General features: G+C 40.4%; 1 protein-coding gene across 55 annotated transcripts in view; it reads right to left on the reverse strand.

Moving 5' to 3' along the window:
* The window catches only part of LRRFIP2 (LRR binding FLII interacting protein 2), a 123,735-nt gene continuing 101,062 nt past the window's right edge, over window positions 454–23,126 (reverse strand). For 27 of the 55 annotated variants that reach the window (NM_001348304.1, NM_001348301.1, XM_006713396.2 and 24 more), the window contains 9 exons: window positions 22,852–22,944; window positions 20,618–20,710; window positions 14,052–14,153; window positions 13,638–13,770; window positions 11,570–11,619; window positions 6,618–6,738; window positions 2,914–2,993; window positions 2,239–2,343; window positions 454–1,789 (listed from right to left, as the gene is read on the reverse strand). In NM_001348304.1, coding sequence (NP_001335233.1) covers window positions 1,679–1,789; window positions 2,239–2,343; window positions 2,914–2,993; window positions 6,618–6,738; window positions 11,570–11,619; window positions 13,638–13,770; window positions 14,052–14,153; window positions 20,618–20,710; window positions 22,852–22,944 — 888 coding nt within the window. In that variant the 3' untranslated portion in view covers window positions 454–1,678. The remainder of the gene's footprint in view (window positions 1,790–2,238; window positions 2,344–2,913; window positions 2,994–6,617; window positions 6,739–11,569; window positions 11,620–13,637; window positions 13,771–14,051; window positions 14,154–20,617; window positions 20,711–22,851; window positions 22,945–23,126) is intronic. The other 28 variants (NM_017724.2, NM_001134369.2, XM_024453826.2 and 25 more) reach the window with 3 other exon arrangements.

The following is a 23,126-nucleotide window of genomic DNA, read 5'->3' on the forward strand; positions in this document are numbered from 1 at the left end:
AGGCAGAGGTTGCAGTGAGCCAAGATCATACCACTGCACCCCAGCATGGGTGACAGCACGAGACTGTCTCTCAAAAAAAAAAAAGAGGCCAGGCACAGTGGCCCACACCTCTAATCCCAGCACTTTGGGAGGTTGAGGTGGGCAGATCACTTGAAGTCAGGAGTTCAAGACCAGCCTGGCCAACATGGTGAAACCCCATCTCTACTAAAAATACAAAAATCAGTCGGGTGTGGTGGTGCACACCTGTAGTCCCAGCTCCTCGGGAGGCTGAGGCAGAAGAATCACCTGAACCTGGGAGGCAGAGGTTGCAGTGAGCCGAGATCGTGCCACTGCACTCCAGCCTGGGTGACTGAGCGAAACTCTGTCTCAAAAAAAAAAGAAAGAAAATGTATAGAAAATCATCTCAATTCAGAAGATTGGTATCCATATTTTTTAAATGAAGGGCTAATTAAAAAAGGAACAAATATTAGAGATTTTATTCACTTTTGAGTTACCTTTTTAAAGTCTAGTTTTATTATCTTATGTGCCTTTAGTCACTAGATTTTCCCCCAATATATTTTCTGTGTAAGCACTTTAAAGATACAATAATCATTTCTATAAAACCACCTGGGTACTAAGAGCAAAAGAGAATCATAAATTCTGCAAAGTAGTTGCACTCCATGATTTTAAAAAAACCTCTTGGACAGGGTACCTCTAAAGGTGAAACTCAAGTCTTTAAAAGTTCTACATTCCAGATTGTTTTTCCTTGAGAAGGAGACAAAAGAAGAGGGATGTGGTTGCCATGATTTGTTTTAAAGTCTCCTATAACAAAATGAACATGTCAGTAGCCAATTGTGGTTGGCAAAAGGGTGTATTTAATAGAATCTGCAGGCAGATTTCCAATCTGCCTGCCCTGCCCTACCCTCCCCCTTTGGGTTTGTTTGAGGTTTCATTCCACAAATAAGCAGCAGATAAAATACTTTACAAGGTACAGCACAGTTGTATTGAAGAAAAAAAGGACCCAACTCTTACTTTAGGAGTATTAGGCCTGGACTTCCCCTGCCCCATGCAATAAAGCAAGTTTTATATACACTCCCCATATTTTTTTCTAACATTTTCTTATATAAATTTAAATATTTTACAAAAAAAGGCTTTTTTCCTCCAAACATATAAATCTGAGTGAAACATAGATTCCCCACCCGAGAACTTGTTTCTTCACTAAAATATAAATGTTGTCTGATATTAAGGGTAAATGTCTTTTGACCACTGGAGATCACTGAAGTCTGAATTGCACCGTGGAGAAGGCACTTGTGTTTTCTGAGGTCTCCAGCAAGTATCTCAGTGAGCACTCATAGAATTGCTGTCTGTCCTCCAGAACCCGTGCCAAGGCCTCCGAGTGCCCAGTTACTGAGGCAGCTGGGGAAAAACGTTGAGTAAACATGATTCTACAATTACGGAGATAAAAAATAAAAACAGCATGGACTGGTTCTACCCTAGAATCAAACTACAACAAAATCCAAAGTGTTCATTCATGTAGATTCAAAATGACTTCATTCTGTCATAAATTATAAAATACAAAGGTGGCTGTTTTAATGACAAAACTCAAAACAGTACTAAAAGGGGTTTGTGTCAATGGACAAAAGTCAGTCCCTCTAGGTAGGGCCCCAAGGAGCATCACCCAGGTTGAAGGGTGGTTTTCCTACTGCTGGGCCAGAAGTGCTGTCCTATTGGCCTTCATCTTCTCCAGCCGCTTGGCCAGGTGGCTGTTGGTCATCTCCATCTCCTCAATCTTGTCCAGTGCTGTTCGTAACTGGAGACAGGGAGAATGCAGTCACTACATGTGGTCAGAAACAACATCCAGTGCTACTCTATTTTCAACTTCCTGGGAAATGAAAGCACTGCTAACTGTGATGGCCTTGCACAGGACCCACAACCTCATTTTTTCTATCAGTTAGAGGTGTTAAATGATGATACTGAGGATTGTTTATTTGTTTTAATCACAGAAAGGATATATAGAAGTTGGAGAAATAGACCTGATCTGAAGCAAAAATACAAACTATCTTTTTACTTAGTATCTAATTGACCAAAACATAAAAGTAAATGGCAGTCACTATGCAGGTCAAAAACCAACACAAATTAGTTAAGTGACTCCACTGCTGTTTCCTTAAGTATCAAATTTCTTACACAGCTAAGAATTATTTCCAGAAGATTTTTTCTTTTTAGGAATGTATTCTCCAAGAAACATATTAAAAGAAGTACCTCTCGTTGTAGCTTCCGTTTTTCTGCTTTCAATTCATCTTCAACTTTCTCAGCATTCTCAGCAGCAGTTTTATATCTCAGAACCTGTCCCTCAAGCCGGCTAATCTGTAAGTATGAGAACATAGGCCTCTAGTACTGGGCACTAGAAGTCACCACTTTTTGGTAGCCAGGATGGAAATACAATGTCATTATAAATGCCAAGTAATCTACTAACAAGTCCCCTAAGGGTGACTCATAAGTCCTCTCAGAACTCAGTTGCTATTTATAAATCAAGTAATGTCCCCAGAGAGGATTACAGCTGTAGAGTCATTTTAGGGCCAATTTCCCATGCTAAGTTTTATTATGACCATATTGTTTAAGTGCCAAAGCAATATAGGAAGAGACACTAAATGGAAAAGTTCTTACACTTTTTGGAATGCGTAAGGGATTTTATTACAAATGATGATCTTGAATTCTCCTGAAATATCTACAAAAACTGATAGCTATAGTTTCCTATGGTTTTAGAGAAAACAGAAGGCTAAAATGTCCCAACAAGTGCTCTCTGCTGGCTTTTCTATTTTAATACAGAACTATTATTGATCCAACTGCAAAGGCAACCCAGGCACTCATGGGTTGTTAGCCACTTAGATGCAGGAAGGACATTTAAATAACTTAGTACCATATAGAAGTACTTACACTTTGCTCCAAGGTAGTTATATCCTGTTCTGCTTTTGAAAGCTTAAATTTGTATTCGCTAATTTGTCTATTGGCATCTCCTAGAACAGAAGAAGACAATGAATTATCTTCACCTGTCAGAGATGACAGTATGAGCCATCAGGCAGTACCTCTGTGGCACAGAGAGGACCATGCAGTCTTAAGATTACAAAATACAGGGCTGGGCGCGGTGACTCACGCCTGTAATCCCAGCATTTTGGGAGGCCGAGGTGGGTGGATCATGAGGTCAAGAGATAGAGGCGACCATCCTGGCCAACATGGTGAAACCCTGTCTCTACTAAAAATATAAAAATTAGCTGGGCGTGGTGGCACAGGCCTGTAGTCCCAGCTACTCGGGAAGCTGAGGCAGGAGAATCACTTGAACCCGGGAGGCAGAGGTTGCAGTGAGCTAAGATCGCGCCACTGCACTCCAGCCTGGCAACAGAGCGATACTCCGTCCCCCTGCCAAAAAAAAATTACAAAATACAAATGCACACACAACAACCACAGCATCTTCAGCAGCCCAGGTTCTGGACTGTATATACTACAAGATGCTCTAGCATATATGTTACTACAGTATCCCTTGCAGCAAGAGTTAGAAGAAAATTCTTTACCCTATGATATGTGTGAGCAGGGCTTGAGAAAGGAGCCCTGCCAATTCAGCAGCAGCCCCTACCAACCCTGTGTGTAACCTTGTGGAGCCTCCCTGCCCACGGGACTGGGCCCTCTAGTTCCCTGAACGCGGCCCCATGCCTTCCCATCTCCCAGGTTTTGCTTCTGCTGTCCAATACTGTAAGGGTCCTTTTCTCCCACCTCTGACTTGCTTCAAGGCCAAGCTCAATTTTCACCTCTTTCATGACTCCCCTTAATTATAAGTCCTTCCCTTGCTGTATTTTATTTGCATTTTTATGACATTTGTCATGCTTTTTAAACATCGTATGTGTAAGCAAGAAGAGGGGCCCTGTCTTGGCCTTCCTAAATCTACCTATGTACCTAGCCAAGTGCACACAGTGTATGCCTAAATAAATATATGTTGGAATAAATGCTGTTCAGTAATGTGATAATGTGTTATGGGTAGAGCTATAAGTTACTAGATGAACATCTGACCTAGGAAGTAAATCACTTAAAATGAAAAGTTTAGAAATGATGGCAGGGGACTTTTAAAATCCCTCCAAGAATCCAAGTTTAGCAAAAATCAGTCTCTGGCATGATTACAGTAATAAGATTTGCAAAAGATAAACCAAATCTAACATACCACAGGAAATATTCAGATTATCTAACTTAAGAACTTTTCTACATTTCCACATGACCAAGGTTACAATTACTTATACAGTCTTCAATGTGAGAGGTTTTTCTTTTTTTTTTTTTGAGATGGAGTCTCGCTCTGTCGCCCAGGCTAGAGTGCAGTGGCGCGATCTCGGCTCACTGCAAGCTCCATCACCCAGGTTCACGCCATTCTCCTGCCTCAGCCTCCTGAGTAGCTGGGACTACAGGCACCCGCCACCATGCCTGGCTAAATTTTTGTATTTTTAGTAGAGACGGGGTTTCACCATGTTAGCCAGGATGGTCTCGATCTCCTGACCTCGTGATCCACCCACCTCAGCCTCCTAAAGTGGTGAGAGGTTTTTCTAATTGGACAATTACTGTCACCTTAAAAGGAACAGGGTTACCATCTCCCCAAAAGCCATATCTGGTAGTGAAAGAGAAGTATTCCTATTTCTGAGCCCTAAAACAAGCTTCAGGATCTGATTTTTAAATTGTTATCCTCAGCAATCTATTGATTATCCAAATGTACTTCTTCCTTCTCACTCTCCAAACCACCTTTCCCTTCCTGTTTTCAAAAGTTTAAGTCTCTTATCTCAGTAACTTCATGTGTGTTTTGAAATCCCATTCCAAAACACTCTCATAATAGGCAAGGCACCATCCAGAACCAAGAGTTGCTCCACTCCTGGCCTTCTGGTCCAGGGAAGCTGCTTGCTTTTGTCTTTGCCAGCTTTCCCACAGTCCTGCAAAGCTCACTTTGTTCTACACCTCCTGCCTGGGTACTTTACCTTCTGCAAATACCAGCTATACAACAACCTACCTACTCTAGGAAGTATTCACACATAAATGCCAGCCCATTCCCCCTAAATCTGTTTCCTTTTAAATTTGCTGCTTAAGGACAATCTCTCAGATCTATTCCCTACCCTCTCTCTAAGACTGCTGACAGCTACTGAACTGGTTCAGGCTCACCACTGTAGTAGCTTCCTAACTAGTCAGCCTGCCTTTTCCCATGTCCCTGTTCTCATCTACCGCCAACACCAAAATGACATTCTTGAACAAAATATTCACCAGGAAATGTCACAAGTGTCCTAACTGATGTCCAACAGAAAAGATAATACCAATATCAAAAGTTAGTATTAATAAGCCTTAACCCAAAAAGTCTTTTCTCTTTTTTTTTTTTTTGAAGAGACGGGTTTTCACCACATTGCCCAGGCTGGTCTCAAACTTCTGAGCTCAAGCAATCCACCACCTCAGCCTCTCCAAATGCTGGGATTATGGGTGCGGGCCACCACGCCTGGCCCCAACATGTCTTTTCTTGGCAGCCTATCTCAGAAGGTTTAGATGAAAAGTCCATGGAATAAACAAGATTTTAATATTAGTTATCAGAAAAGTCACTATTCTTATTGGAAAAATGAAAATCTCCTCTGTCCGAGAATTACACATAATCACTAACAAAGGCTAACTACAAATTCCTGCTGAAATCTTCCTACTATGGGAATTAGTGTGACTGCAGTGATCATTTTATTATGAGGTCAGAAGTAGAAAAATGAGAAAAACTGGAATAATTCGGGTAAAATGAATAGAATAGACTTTATTTTGTGGACTTATTTTAAATTTCATCTAATAAAGATAAACTTGGATTAACAAAATACTTCTAGGAAAATTCTGAAACTACTCAATTTAGTGTGAAGTAGTTCCAAATAGATTCGTCCAATTATCCAAGACAAATTCCAGAGAAAAAACTTTAATGGGGAAGGGTGCTTGCTGTATGGGAGCTTAAAGATGACAAATGGATGTGGAAAAGGACAGTGCCAGGTTGTCAAAAGGCATTTCACTGTGTGCAAAAAGTTCCTAGAAATCACTTTATCCAGAAAGGGTAAGAGCAATAAACCTCATTATCCCCTGAAGCACACAGGCTAGTGGAGCCTCTATTCAGCTATATTGCTGACTAGGACTGTTTTTCTGGACTAGCCAAGGACTAACCAATTTTTGCAGCATAGCTCTTCTTAAGAAAAGCATATTAACGGCCAGGCGCGGTGGCTCACGCCTGTAATCCCAGCACTCTGGGAGGCTGAGGTGGGCAGATCACCTGAGGCCAGGAGTTCGAGACCAGCCTGGTAACTATGGTGAAACTCTGTCTCTGCTAAAAACATAAAAAACTAGCCGGGCATGGTGGCAGGCGCCTATAATCCCAGCTACTCAGGAGGCTGAGGCAGGAGAATTACTTGAACCCAGGAGGCAGAGGCTGCAGTGAACGGAGATTGCACCACTGCACTCTGACCTGGGTGACAGAGTGAGACTCCCATCTCAAAAAAAAAAAAAAAAGAAAAGTGTATTACAAGATACCAGCAACCTGCTGACAAACCCACCCCTGGGACACAGTCTATATACAGACTGGGACTGGCCTGTCCCCTGGTACCTACTCTGCATTTCGATGAACTGCAAGTCTGAGCCATTCTGCAGTCCTGCCAGGTCACCCACTGTGCCATCATTCCTGGAGCATTTCTGTCGTTCCTCCTCTAACTGAAGCTTCAGTTTTCTAATCTGAAATGAAAATAAAGGTTCATCAGCAAGATCCAATCTCTCAAATGAAGCCGATGCTTATTCTATGGTCACATCATAGAACAAAGCAGACCCTTATCGTATCAGCCACATTCATTCAAAACCTATTTTCTTGAGTGCCTAATAGGAGACACACATCGTCCTAGGTGCTAAAGATAAGCTACGAACAAACATCGAAAAGAGCAAGCCCCAGGACCAGGTGTCCCAGTAGAAAATAGCCATATTTTAAATTTGTGTCTGCTTATGGAACAGTACATCTTTGGGGTATTTTTTGTTACTTTTATTTAAAATGGAAAATTCTAGCCAGGCATAGTGGCATGTACCTATGTATCAGGCTACTTGGGAGGCTGAGGCATGAGGATCACATGAGCCCAGGAGTTTGAGACCGACCTGGGCAACACAGTGAGACCTCATCTCTAAAAAAAATAAAACAAAAATATAAACAGTTAACTGATAGGGTATATTCAAGAGATTATTTCTTAAAATGGAAGATTCCATGAGCAGTTTTTTGTTGTTTACTTTTAGACATAGGTTAAATTTTCTTACTTAGAAAACATCCTGTATGTAAAAATAATTGGGGCTGGGCACGGTGGCTCACGCCTGTAATCCCAGCACTTTGGGAAGCTGAGGCGGGCGGATCACAAGGTCAAGAGATCGAGGCCATCCTGGCCAACATGGTGAAACCCCATCTCTACTAAAACTACAAAAATTAGTGGGGCATGGTGGCACGCGCATGTAGTCCCAACTACTCCAGAGGCTGAGGCAGGAGAATCATTTGAACCTGGTAGGTGGAGGTTGCAGTGAGTGGAGATCACATCACTGCACTCCAGCCTGGTGACAGAGCGAGACTCTGTCTCAAAAAAAAAAAAAATAATAATAATAATAATTGGATACATAGAGATGGCTTCCCCAGCTGTCCTTAACTCCACCAACAGGGGTCAAAGGGAGGCCTCTGCACTAAGATTAAGTTTGCCACTCCCCAATGGGAAAAGGGTAAGCTCTATATTGGGACTAACTCTATACTTCCCAGGCACCTCTGCCCTTTCAACACACAGGGTCACCATCATTAGCTGCCTTGAGGGAACCAGGACAAATCTCAGTATCTCCATCATTCCTATTTATGTGCATCTCACAAAGGGTCATATCCTTCCTCTGCAGTCTTCCTCACAAGGGTCTGTACGACCACTAACCTTCATCTCCTAACCTTTCCCAATGCCTGAAACTTTTCCACTGGGCCCTCTAGAATTATCAGTCCATCATCAGCAAACACCCTCTGTCCTCAGTCTTTTCTGAGCATCCCCCCTTTACCCTCGTGCTCTGATAACCCTCTCCTGCTGCTTCTGCAGCTCTCTCAAACACTGTTTTTGTTTTGTTTTGTTTTGTTTTGTTTGTTTGTTTGAGACAGGGTCTCGCTCTGTGGCCCAGACTGGAGTGCAGTGGCATGATCTCAGCTCACTGCAACCTCCGCCTCCCGGGTTCAAGCGATTTTCCTGCCTCAGCCCCCCGAGTAGCTGGGATTCCAGGTGCATGCCACCACGTCCAATTTTTGTATTTTTAGTAGATGGGGTTTCGTCATGTTGGCCAGGCTGGTCTTGAACTCCTGACCTCAAGTCATCCACCCACCTTGGCCTCCCCAAGTGCTGGGATTACAGACATGAGCCACCATGCCCGGCCCTTTTTTTTTTTGTACTTCCACAGCTTCCTACCACTGAATCTAGAAATGGAATAGGTGTCCTCTTGCTTTCCTTGCTGGTATTTTCCCTCCATCTTCCCTAAAAGTCCCAGGTCTTAATCTCGTCTCTTCAAATTATATACACTAACTACTTATCATTGCCAAAATCCCATTCCTTCATCACCATTTATTAAATAGCTCCCAACTTGCACTCCCTCTAGACTATTCCTGTCTTAATTTTTGGCAATTTCAATGTACATCTAAGTAGAGGATCTCCCTTACAAATGATCTCTCAATTTCTGGTATATCTCCTCTTACGGTTTGGATGTCTGTCCCCTCCAAATCTCATGTTGAAATGTATTCCCCAGTGCTGAAGGTGGGGCCTGGCAGGAGGTATCTGGGTCATGGGGCAGATCCCTCATGAATAGCTTTGCACCATTCCCTTGGTGATGAGTGAGTTCTCGCTCTGGTAGTTCACACAAGATCTGGTTGTTTAAGAGTGTATGTTACCTCCCCACTCTCTCTGGCTTCCGCTCGAGATATGACGTGCCTGCTGCCCCTTCACCTTCCGCCGTGATGAGAAGTTTCCTGAGGCTGGCTGGGCGCGGTGGCTCATGCCTGTAATCCCAGCACTTTGGGAGGACGAGGTGGGTGGATCACCTAAGGTCAGGAGTTCAAGACCAGCCTGGCCTGAGGCCTCAGGAAACTGAGCTCAGAAGCTGAGCAGATGCTGACAACATACTTCCTCTACAGCTTGCAGAACCATGAGCCAGTTTAAACCTCTTTTCTTTTTCTTTTTCTTTTTTCCTTTTTTTTTTTTTTGAGACAAAGTCTCACTCTGCCACCCAAGGCTGGAGTGCAGTGGCGCAATCTTGGCTCACTGCAGCCTCCACCTCCCTCCTGCCTCAGCTTCCCAAGTAGCTGGGACTACAGGCACCCACCACCATGCCCGGCTAATTTTTGTATATTTTTAGTAGAGTTGGGGTTTCACCATGTTGGCCAGGCTGGTCTCAACTCCTGACCTCAACCACCTGCCTCAGCCTCCAAAAGTGCTGGGATTACAGGCATGAGCTGCTGTGCCCAGTCAAACATCTTTTCTTTATAAATTACCCAGCCTCAGGTATTCCTTTATAGCGAAGCAAAAAATGGACTAACCCACCTCCCTTCCAAGGATCTTGCTATCTATCCCTTCTTGCCCTCAGCTACTCACTCCCACAGTCATATACCAGATCTCATCATTAGACAATTGTAATCCCTACACAATTTAGTTCCATGTATCCTCTCTCTAACCACTATTCCTCATCTTTCCAGGTCATTCTCTCTAGACCCGAATTCCAACAACCCTTCAACCACACTGGTACCACTAATCTACAGATTACATCTTCTTTCTACTATACCTTGATGTGTTCCTGAATATCTCCCGAATCCTCTTCATCCAGTTTAATTTCAAGGTCCATCATTATAATCATTTTCTTACATACTCCCTCACCTCTCCTGCCCCATTAATACTGTCCTAGTAAAATCTAGCTCTCTACCCACTCCATGCCTGCCCCTATGCTGCTGTAAGTAGCCAGAGAAACACATATAATAAATGCATTCACACAAACCTTCTAACATATCATATAATATTGTCTGATGTCTTCCTACTAGAATGCCTCTCAGGCAGGAATTTTTTTTTTCTAAACTAATTTATTCACTGAAATATCCCAGTGCCTAGAATAGTGCATGTTAAATAGTAGAATCTCACTCAACATTTGTTGAATGACTGAATAGGAGTTCCAAAATAGAGAACACAGCATATGGGAGGGGAAAAAAATCAGTAACAAAATCATTCAAGAAATTTTCCCAGAACTAAAGGATGGGAGCTCCTAGAATTGACAGGGGCCCAGCATCACACATGAAAACTTCAAATCACATGACTATCTTCAAATTACACCAGAATGCTAGAGAGAAAGAGAATAGGATACAAGCTTCCACAAAGAGGAGAAAAATAGATCACAAATCAGAAAAGATCAGAACTCAAAATGTTCATGAAAACTCAACAGCCATGCTCGAAGTCACAGCACAATGAAGAAATGTCCTTTTAAAAAATCTTAAGGAGAACCATGGCAACTCAGGATTCTCTACCCAGCCAAACTATTTTAATCAAGTGAGAGGGTAGAATGAAGACATCTTCAGGCCTGCAAGGTCATGAAAAATTAACAATCCACAAACCCTCTTCTCAGGAAGCTACTGGAAGATGTACCAAAATAAGAGAATAAATAAGGAGAAAGGCATGAGACACCGGAAAAAGGGAACCCAACCTAAATCACATGCAAAGAAAATCTCCAGATGCCAATGAAGGGTGACCACATCTATGTACCGAGAGGGCAAGTCACTAGTTTAGAAAGGGACAAGTCAGATGCACCAAGATTCAACAAACTGGAACTGAAATAACACCAGATGCATCTGAAAATACTGAGTGGGATTAATCTACTCTTGGAGATTCTGTGGCTAAATTGATGATAGAAAACCAAGCAAATACAAAGAAAAACCATAACATTAACTTTAGAGGAAACTAATAGTTCTGAGGGAGATGATCCTAGAATGCAACCTGGCTCCACTGTGTGAGTAGTGTTTAGAGGGTCCTAATGACACAAGCAGGCTGGAATTACACTGTTCCTTTATTAGGAGGATATAAGAGTGGAAAATAAGTATGTGTGTGGCAGGGACAAAGGATGAAAAACAGCTAAATCCTCATCTTCCATAAAAGGATGTCAATATAGAATGCCTGAAGCAGAACAATCAAGATGCAACATAAGTATGTTATACAGAGATACAAGGACAGTACACAAGAATCAGCTAAAAGTATTTAACAGAAATGGTCAGGGGCGAGGTCAGAGGAGCCAGGGCAGGGGACTGCTGTGTTCATAACAAGCTTTGTAAAAAACTATATGACTCCTTAAACTATGTGTCCTTAAAAAAATGTTTTAAGAACAGAAAATAACAAAGAGGTAAAATATGAATTATCTATCCTTCATATCTCACTTGAGTACTGATGTTTGAAAGAAGCATATTTTTTTAATGAACATTTCAATTAGCCAGTATTTTACCATGTAACTTTGTTAAAATTATATTACACTCCAATAAGAATGCCTTTACCTGTGACAGTAGTTCTTCCTTCTCTCCAGCAAGTTTTCGTAGCCTTACATCTAAAACAAATGAAAAAGATCATAAACTAAATATGTGATGATATAGTACATAAACAATTAAAAATTTTTCAAACTCATAAACAGCTAATATTATCTGATAAATTACATTACTTACAGCTCTGAATATCTAAAGAAATAAAGGTGTTAATAGCATTACAGAAAAGTTCTTAACTATCTAAAAAGTATTTCCACACAACTGATATTTATCAGGGCACCAAATCCAACATTTGTTCCCCACAGCAGTGATTTGCCACTTAAAGACAAACAGAAGTACAAAGGAGGTCATTTCCTTGTTTCAAGCTTTCACTAGTAGACAGACAACTCAAATGTCAAGTGTGTTCCTAAAGGCTGAGCCCTTAGCGGGAGAGATCCAAATATGTGAAAGAAGATGGGGTAAGAGCAGGACTGGGCAAAGGAAGCTAGAGAAGAGAAAAGAGAGGAGCATAATGCTGGAAGAAGCAAAGTCCCCAAAAGCTAGTAGGGAGGGAAGGGGACCCACTCCAAGATGTGGGCAGCCAGGCCAGGTGTGGTGGCTCACGCCTGTAATCCCAGCACTTTGGGAGGCCTAGGTGGGTGGATCACTTGAGGTCAGGAGTTCAAGACCAGCCTGGCCAAAATGGTGAAACCACGTCTCTACTAAACAAATACAAAAATTAACCAAGCGTGGTGGCAGGCGCCTGTAATCCCAGCTACTCGGGAAGCCGTCTGAACCTGGGAGATAGAGGTTGTATGTTGCAGTGAACTGAGATCGCGCCACTACAATCCTGCCTGGGCGACCGAGTGAGACTTCGTCTCAAAAAAAAAAAAAAAAAAGATGTGGGCATCCATGGGTAGATCTGCGGCTTGGTGGCAGCACCATTAGGGCTCACTCCTAGCCTGTGGAGGTTTGACTCTTCCCAAGCCTGCATTAAAATAGGCCCCTTCAGCTGAGGAGATACCATGGTTCACTTAAAAAAGCAGCTGATACCTCGCCAACCACTACCCTCTGTAAACAGGGTCATAGCCAAATAAAGATTTTGGTTTCTTCTGCACCTTCCAAGCAGATCTGCCTGCTTGGACCTGCAGACGAGGGAAAAAACAGCAGGGAAACACTCTGGGCTGCCTATAGCCAGACTCTCGTTCCATTCTCCAGATCTCTCTTGCTCACCCAGCATCCTGTTTTATTCAAAGTGCCCTACAATCACATTTCTGGAATGCACATTAGAGAATGTGCTTACTAACTTTCAAAATGTTTTTCAGTTTGCTTCACACTTGTATCTCTCACTCCTCTAAGAAGCTTACACATATATGAAAACAAGATGAAAAACAAAAAAATTGTTTTTTTTTAAAATAAAAGTGAGCTAATGATACAGTATCTATCTGTGCCATTTTTCTTCCTCTAGAGTAGATTTCTTTGTGGGGTCAATGGATGGGTGACTTTGATTTCTCAGACAGAGGTGTCAGCAACTTTGTGGTTTCCTGGAGAGAGGTGTCAGATTCTCAAAGGGTTAAATTTAAGAGGTTTAGACTTTAAGAGTCTGGGAAGCCCTGCTCTGGAAGTCATACTTCTCTGATATCTTTTTGGTCATCTGTTTCTTGGCTTAAGAAATGTGGTGGAAAAGAGGTACAGAACCCTGGGGTAAGCAGTGGAACATAAAACCAGATGTTCCAAGGATGAGAAACTTATAACACACTTGAGAAGTCTCCTGCTAGCCTACTGCTCCCCTAGCACAGGTATACTAGACTATCTCTTTGCAGAACAGTTTGTAGTTAAGTAAAAACCGATGTGTATAGGCCCATAGTACTTCCATCCACAGGCCTTACAGTTACACTTATTGCCTTACAGTGACCCAGATGCTGATTTCCCAAGGTCAAGGATGTCTGAAGACAATGTGCCAATGTGCCCAGATTCTTCTAGTTAAGGATCTACTTGAGTCTCAGCCCTTATGCTGTTTTTGTTTTCCAAGCTGGGATATGAAAAAGCAGAAAACCCAATAGGGTAACATTAATCCAAGTCAACATAGCAACCAGTATCTTACCTAATGGCCCTTCTCCTGCTGACTCCAAGACCTGAGCAGCTTCCTGAGACACAACAGTGATGGCTCCAGCCACTGGTTCATGACTGACATCACCATTGGGAGTGCCATCGGGGATTATAACTAAGCCATGTTTCTGCAGGGGGGAAAAACCCACCATCACAAAAGGCCCGTATGGAAGCTGTAAGCTCTGTGAGGTCACTCTGCAACAATACATGTTTGCTACAGGTAAAACCTGGTTAGAATCAGTTACATGAAATATAGCTCTGTGTAAGAAATAGCTTCAACCTACCAAATCTGGATTAGAGAATAAACACTGTAGTTTGTATTTAGGCTAGGAAAGATGGCAGGATGAAAGGAAGGAAGATAGAGAGTAAAACAGTGAGGGACCTGAATTCCAGGCTAATGCTAACATACCTCTCCCGTCTTCACTGTCTCCTGCAGGTCAGCCAGCTCCTCTCTGAGCATATCTCGCTCATTCCTAAGGCAGGCAATGTATTCTTTCTGTTTCTCTAGGGCCTGGTTTTAGGTAAGGTAGCAAGGGAAACAATGGCACAGAAAAAGAGCAGGTGAAAGGTAGCAGAGAAGTACCTAATTCAAATAAGCAAAGATAAAGGCATAAAAAGCAAGAAAGCAGTCAAAAGATTGGAAACAAACAGTCAGATATGGGAGGAAATACAGAGTTACATGGATATACATCTCCAGAAGAGACTTCTCATAGAAACTGGTTCTCATGCATCAATTTGGCAAAACATGTTTAATCACATCAAGCAGGGAAATAAATCTTTTCCAGTCAATGAAAAAAATAAAACAGGAAAAGGAAGATAAAGAGAGAAGCCAGAGTAAAATAAAGCTTTCCTTACTGACTGCCTAAGTGCATTTTTATTTGGTGAACAAAAAAAACCCCACATTTCATGTTTAACTAAACTAGTTTATTCAAGAATACAGTTGATTTTTTAAAAAATAGTTCTGGAATAAAAATAACTATTATACATAGGTATTTTAATTTAATATTGGCTGTAGATTTTTCTCCAAGTAGTGTGGCAAAATACTCAAATACCACTTAATTCAAAATAGTTAACCTCCAAAAGGATTCAAAGATCAACTTCTGACAACTTAATTAAATATAACTGAGACTCATTTGGCTTTCTGTTATACTCCCAAAATGTGAAAAACAAAAATAAACACTGACAAAATAAATACAGCCAAGCTATGAAGAGTTACAGAATATGGATTTCAGAATCAGGCTTTTGGGTTCTGGCACATACTTGTCCTATGCCTCAGTTTCCTCACTGGAAAAACAGAAGGGATAATAGCACCCATCCCAAGGGCAGAGGCATAAATCAAGGTAAAGCATTGCCTGTAATGCCTAGATAGCAGGGACAGTTCAGGAGAATCAGGTTGGTGATTTCATTTGTAAATTCCCTGCCATTTCCTTAATCTCACAACTGTCAGCTGAGGACAATGCAGAAGCAGGAACATACTTTGGTCATCAATGAAAAATAAAATCTACTATGAAAAAATAAAATCTATTGTAAAAGAAAATAACCCAGAATTAAAAATACACCCAAGGTAAGTAGTCTATGCAGGAATCTGATTACTGGCCTATTTGAAAAAGCCTTTCCCCAAATATTTTTGTTCATATATTTAATGTCTTCTGTTAGCATTCCCATTAATCCAAGAAGTTAAACTATATCAGGTAACTTTCCTCTCAGTTCACTGGGTTTGGAAGTGGGACAGCGAATTGCTGAGAAATTGATAGCTGAATAGCTGGGCAATTCAAAAAATCATTATAATCCTGTTTTGCAACCAAATAGGGAGCAAGTAAATAAGGGATGATAGCAACTACGATTTGTATAGCACAAATTATATGGCAGGCACTATTTTATATAATTTCTCTCTTATACATTATTTTACATTTGAAACCTCTACATATCCTGTGAGGTACTTGTATTATCCCCATTTAACAGATCAGAAAATTGAGGCTCACAGTGGTTATATTTTTTCGCCCAAAGTCACAGTAAGTGGCAAAACCAGAAAATGAATCTGGTTGTTTTTGTTTCCAAAGCCCTTAAATAGTTTTTTAAATATCACAGCTCTATGAAGGCCACATTATATTCCCTTATTGTTAGCCCAGATGATGCTAGGAAAGGAGTCCATACGGCAAATCCTACTCTTTACTTATCCAAACTGCAATGTCAATATCTGACTTCTTTTCAACAATTTACATTCACACTATATGATGTGTCTCAAGTCTGCCTGTGAATTAACAATGTGCATTTCTAGCACCATCTAGCTAGTGTTAACACTCCATTATGTTAATAATTAATAATAACTGAAACATTGGGAAAACAAAGCACAACAATACTTTCCCATGTGTTGAGTGTCACTTTATGGATTAGGTATTTTTGGTTACTGGTATCTGCATGCATAGTTATGTCATGTATCACCACATATAAGTGGGTAAATGATCACTGTCACAACATGCTCTACATAAACAACAACACTGAATAAAAAAGACCTCTGAGGAACAGGCCAATTTGAAACTAGGAATTCTAGCAAATGATATACATGACATTTGCTCTTCTTCCACATCGTATTGCACTGGGTTTTATTTTTACCTTCGGACTTTTTAATTTCCTCTTCCCATAATTACAGATGAGAAAATAAAATACATCCTGTAAATTCACCCACTTCACCACAAAGTTTGAAGACTACTAAAATACCTTATAATTGGATCAAATGTATTCAAGCTGGATCTAAAACCCTCTGTATTACCTGACCATATAACCACTACCCTTGTGTTTGTGTGCAACAATAGCTCCTACAGTAGATTTTTTTTAGGGTAAAAAGTACACGCTTGTAGAGTTCAAAATAACTCTTTATCCCTGACCTAACCTCAAATCCTACCACCCGGAAGCCAAAAGGATGTGTATAATGGGCTGAACTTTTGGGCAAGGGGTTAATTCTCCACATAATTGTACTGGGGAACAAATATCTTTGGTCAGAATGGAAGTGAGTTTATGCTGGGCTATAGAGATACGCAAGTTCTTCATACGCACCTATTCTATACATGGGCTCCTGGTGTTTAGAACCGCAGTGGAGCTAGAGGCAAGACCACTAATGAACTGAACTTTAACCTGGGAATAATGGACATATTTCTTCATTAAGTTACTAAATGTAAATCTTAAAAATGAAGCTAGAGACAAGTAGTTACTGACCATACTGAAAATGTGTCTTAAAAGTCAAGGGAGGACCACTGCCCTTGTATTATAATGATAACAAATGTTGGCAAGGACATGGAGAAATTGGAACCCTTGTTCACTAGTGGTGGGAATGTAAAATGGTACATCTGCTACAGAACACAGTATAACTGTTACTCAAAAAAATTAAACACAGAATTACCATATGATCCAGCAATTCCACTTCTGGGTACATACCGAAAACAACTGAAGGCAGAGTCTTGAAGAGTTATTTGAATACCCATGTTCACAGCAGCATTATTCACAATGGCCAAAAGGTAGATGTGTTGATATATCAACAGAAGAATGTGGTATATACATACAATGGAATATGATTCAGCCTTAAAAGGGATGGACATTCTGACATATGCTGCAAAATGAACCTTGAGGGCATAATGCCAAGTGAAATAAATCAGATACTGTATGATTCCACTTACATGAAGTACCTAGAGCAGTCAAATTCACAGAGACAGAAGGTGGAATGGTAGTTGCCATTCCACCAGGGGTTTGGGAGAAGGGACTGAATGGGGAGTTGTTTAATGGGTACAGATTTCAGCTGGGGAAGACTAAAAAGTTCTATGGTGGTGACAGTAGCACAACAACATGAATGTACTCAATGCCACTGAACTGTACACTTAAAAATAGTTAAAATGGTAAATTTTATGTTATTTGTACTTTAGCACAATTTTTCAAATTAAAAAAGAGTCAACTCGTGATTCAATAACTTGGAAGAATCTTGAGGGACTTATACAGAGTGAAAAGGGATAATTCCAAAAGGTTAACATATACTATATAATTCCATTTTTATAACATTCTTAAAAGAGCAAAACTACACAAATGAAGAAAAGATTAGTGGTTCTTAGGGCTTGGGAGGGGAAGGGGAGATTAAGGCTATGACTATAAAAAGGCAAGAGGAGGAGAAATCCCTTATATTGATGGAAATGTTCTGTATCTTCACCATATCAAGGGCAATATCCTGGTTGTGATATTGTACTATAGTTTTGTAAGATGTTACATTTGGGGAAGATTGAGCAAAGAATATATAGGATCTCTGTTAAATTTCCTCTTTTTTTTTTTTTTTTTGAAACAGGGTTTTGGTCTGTTGCCCAGGCTGGACTGCAGTGACATGATCTCAGCTCACTGCAACCTTGGCCTCCCGGATTCAAGTGATTCTCATGCCTCAGCCTCCCAAGTAGCTGGGATTACAGGTGTGCACCACCATGCCTGGCTAATTTTTGTATTTTTAGTAGAGACAGCGTTTTACCATGTTGGTCAGGCTGGTCTCGAACTCTTGACCTCAAGGGATCCACCCTCTTTGGCCTCCCAAAGTGCTGGGATTAAAGGCATAAGCCACCATGCCCAGCCCTGTTTAATTTCTTACAACTGCATGTAAATCTAAAATTCTGGCCGGGCACAGTGGCTCATGCCTGTAGTACCACCACTTTGGAAGGCCGAGGTGGGTGGATCACTTGAGGTCAGGAGTTCGAGACCAGCCTGGCCAACATGGTGAAACCCCATCTCTACTAAAAATACAAAAATTAGCCGGACGTGGTGGTGCACACCTGTAGTCCCAGCTACTCAGGAGGCTGAGGCAGGAGAATTGCTTGAACCCAGGAGGTTGCAGTGAGCTGAGATCGTGCCACTATACTCCAGCCTTGGGGAGAGAGAGAGATTCCATCTCAAAAAAAGAATACTAAAATAAAATATTTTCCAATTAAAAGCCAAATAATTTATATTTTAAACTGAGACATCTGAGGGGTTTCTATGGCTGGTCCAAGATTATCAGTTTAAAATATTAAGGCACTCATACAAGCTAGAAATCCTGGGCCTACAGATCTGTGTTAAAGAAAATTATGTGAAGTCCTAAAAGAAGCCCATTCTAGACAGTGACCAGATTTTAACTAAAAATTTTAAATTACCTACTTTGCCCCACGTTTTTTCACCTCTTATATTTCCCAAGCAAAAATTTAAATCAAATCAATGGTTCAACAATCAAATTTCACTTTTCAATTTCAAATTTCAATTTTAAAATCATAGTTTCAAAACACCTAACAGAATTATTGATTTATTCCCCAGAAGGCTTTTCTAGGTTTAGATGGAATTTTTAATACTCAGCAATTTGAAAGTCAGAGAATTATCTATAAAGTAGCTTTTGTTCTTTAAATTTTTGGTCTACAAACTTTTTTAAAGAAAGGGTATCACTCTATTGCTTAGGCTGGAGTGCCATGGCACGATCATAGCTCACTGCAGCCTCCATCGTGTGGGCTCCAGTGATCCTCCCACCTCAGCCTCCTAAGTAGCTGGGGCAGGTGCATGCTCTGCAAATTTTAAAATTCTTTTGCAGAGACAGGGTGGGTCTCACTATGTTGCCCAAGCTGGTCTCAAGCTCCTGACCTCAAGCAATCCTCTGGCCTCAAGCGATCCTCCGTGCTAGGATTCCAGGCATGAGCCTACAAACTCTTAAGAGGTAATGTAATCTTCCCATGTGTATATTAATGAGAGAGGTCCTTGAAGTGATGAAAAAGACTGGATCCTGCTGACTACTGGTTGGGCTTCAGAATGTTCCTAACAACATTCTGAGGGTATAATCCACAGGATTTCATATCCAGGCCTGTCTCTCAAGAGATGTTCTCAGGGATCTTTAACAACTATTCCCTACTCCCCCTAACCTTAAGCAGAACAAGACTTTTCTTACATGTTCTATTTCCTCTGCCCTTCCCTGACAAGGTAAGCCTCTGGCAACTATGGCTAAGTGGTTCCCCTACTGTAGAACAGAGAGCTCAGCCAGGTGATGGGACTGCCAATCAAAGGCCACATGAGATGAACTGGAGGGAATTTTTTCCAGCTTTTGGTGTACATGGAATCTACCTGCAAGGCTTAGCAAAACAGCAATGAAGACATTTCGTTTATCTGGGCCCTTACTTGGGGGAGTTCTGTGGTTATAATTACAGACAGCCACCCTAGAAAGTCTTACATTCCTATCCATTTCTGTAATTGAATTGATTTTAATCTCTTCCTATTTTATACACCAAGGATTTATAGGATGCTAATAACTTTCTCCCCACCACTACCCTCTTCTTATCCAAATTCCTGTAACGTAAGGATATCAAGTTAACCACAGAGTTTGAATTGAATGCCTGTGGCTGTTTCTGGATAAGAATCTGAAGGGAGGCCAGGCATGGTGGCTCACGCCTATAATCCTAGCACTTTGGGAGGCCAAGGTGGGTGGATTACCTGAGGTCAGGAGTTGGAGACCAGCCTGGCTAACATGGTGAAACCCCGTCTCTAATAAAAAGACAAAAAATTAGCTGGGCATGGTTGTGTGTGCCTGTAATCCCAGCTACTCGGGAGGCTGAGGCAGGAGAATCACTTGAACCCAGGAGGCAGAGGTTGTAGTGAGCCGAGATCATGCCACTGCACTCCAGCCTGGGCAACAGAGTGAGACTCCGTCTCAAAAAAAAAAAAAAAAAAAAAAAAAGAATCCTAAGGGAATACAGAGAAACTTCCTTTAAAAGTTCCTACTTATACATTTTACAAGCCTAGTGTTTGCTGAAAAGAAGAGTTCTTCCAGGCACAACGTCAGGTTTTCCTATGGAAGTCTCTGTCTCCTACTGACTCATTTTTCATACTGTGTAAATGCTCAAGAAGAATCAAAAGGACAGGTTTTTTCAATCTCTAGGTTAAATTCTACTGTAGTCCTCATCAATGAGCTTCTAACCAAAGCCCAATTTCATTTCATACCCCAATTTTTTTATCTTTCCAAAGAAGTGTCTCCTGGAGGTCAAACACCTCTTTTGTCATGGTGTCTATTTTCTGCTGCATGCGCTGCTTCTCCTGCAGAGGAAGAGGGGAAGAGAAGTAATAAAAGAGCAGAAAGAAAAGGGAGAGGAGGTTTGAGGGAGGAAACAAAAATAAAGCCGATAAAGAAACTTAACCAAAAGGGAAAGTCTGTGATGAACAGGAAAAGCAAAATTGGTCTGCCAAAAGAAAAGATGACATTCACAGTCTTGGCCACAAGATTCTTATTGGCTTGCCCCTACAAAAGTAAGCAAAGGAACCAGGAATAATTGTTCCAACCACAGCTACGTGGCAGCAAGCCAGCTAGAATTTCTGTGTACATACAGCTCCATATGTATATTCTTTCTTTGATAACTGCCTTTTTACCAAACAAGAACTTACATTCCTAGAGAGGGAAATTTAGGTTTGCTTATGAACAAATGATCTTTCATCTTAGAGAACAAGCAGTTTTGAATTTTATTTTTTAAGCAGAACTGATCATTTTGAATTTCTGTTAGCAAAATCTATGACAGCAAGAACACCATGAATTTTGTATTATTTTAAAATTATATTATTTTGAAACATTTAAATTTAGCATTTAACAATCCTTAAATGACCTTTCTAATTAGGCAATGGTGCTTAACAGGTTTTCTTCTTATGCATTATTGGTAAATTATTATGTCCTCCTTTCCCTACTCATACATTAGGTACTTTACCATGGAATTTTCAATTCCAAAGACCAAAAAACATTATTTGTAATATTTAAAGTTTTTCAGCATAACCATAGATACTAACATCTAAAAGATGTTCATTCTAGATGTAAAAAACATCTAAAACTATAGTTCTCAAAGTTTGTATACCTAGCACCCTAAGCTTTTAAAGAAGCCACAGTGATGAACTATAGAAATCAAGCATTATATTCTTCTTAAATGCAATTACAATTAATTACTAGAACACTTTACCAGTCCTAACTTAAGCTATTGAATTTGAGAAGCAGCCCCCAAAGCAGGTTTATTATTTTATGTGGTTGGCATTTTGGCACAAAAAGATAAAAGAACAAAAAGGGAAAGAATTTCACATTATTTTAAAATACCAGCAGGATACAGATTCTGGAAAATATGCTTCCTACCTTATATGGAGAAAAACCAAGAAAATTAACTTCACATGTAATCTGATAGATCCAAAAGGTTATCTGTATCTGCACTTGAAATCCACAAATTCTGAGTATGTTCAATTATTCTTAATGATGACAAAAATTAACACGTCTTCAAATTTAAAGTCATTTCTTTTTCTCTATTAAATGGTTTTTAAAAATCATTTGTAGAGAGACATATTAAGAGGTAGGTCCGAGGGGAAAGAGAGAAAGAGGGAGAGAAAAAGAAAGGCTAAGGTCTGAGTAGCCAGGAATGTGGACAAGTGTGGTTGTGAGATCTCTCTCCTGGGATCATTAACAATCTATGCTTCCTGACATCTCTGGCGTGTCAACACTAACTTAACATTAGATGCCTTTGATAGCCACACCTAGATAGTGGGCAGGATCCCCCTTCAAACTTATTTCCATATTTATCTAAAAACATCGTCTCAGGAGGGAAAACCACATTTAAAGAAAAAAGATGCATGCAATGTAGCAGGCCTGCAAGGATGACTAATGTTTTCAAAGAGTTCTTGGTAGACTATGCTTCATTCCATTCCTAAGATGTTGCCAGCAATGTGGCAGAGTCCCTTCGCTTGCAGAAACCTGAACCTTCAGACTAACCATTCTTTACCTTTTTGTACAGAACGTATCTTGATGTTTCTTCTTTTTTCATTTAGCCACCTGAGAAATGTATTTACCTGAGTGAAAATCAAACTTATTCCCCAAGAATCATGTCCCAAAAGATGGCATTCACTAATTCCAAAGAATAATGTTATTCTATAATTTTTCCTTTTGCCCATTTCCTAAGATATCTGTAGGAAACAGTGTGCTTAGGAATAAAAGACACAAAAATTTCTGCTACCAAAGTGGGGTAATGTTTATAGGATTTATAGTATTAATTTTTAAGCATAATCTGGTTTATGTTTGAAAATTTGTAGTGTACAGTCAAATATAAAGAGACAAACTCTGATGCATCTTAACTCTCCTTCCCTCCCAACACATCCTCATCCCATTCAACTCATTTTTTTTCAAAATTAAGTATTCCCACAGTTCATGTACATACCTCAATAAGCTCATCTCTTTGCCGCAGGCCTTCTTTAAGTTCTTCCATCTTATGCTGCAGCACACTACACATATGTTTCTGCCTTTCTAACTCCTGTTATTAAACAAATAATATCATTTACACAGGTCATGGCACACAAGAAATTTGAACATACACAATACAACACAGAGGTTAAGTATGACCTCCAGAAACATGCCCAAACTCCTGATTCATAGTAACTTAGAAAAATTGTGTATTCTATAGAAAAGTTAAGAAAATTTTAAAATTCCATCTTG

This window comes from Homo sapiens, chromosome 3 (assembly GCF_000001405.40).
Source record: "Homo sapiens chromosome 3, GRCh38.p14 Primary Assembly".
Lineage (NCBI taxonomy): Eukaryota > Metazoa > Chordata > Mammalia > Primates > Hominidae > Homo > Homo sapiens.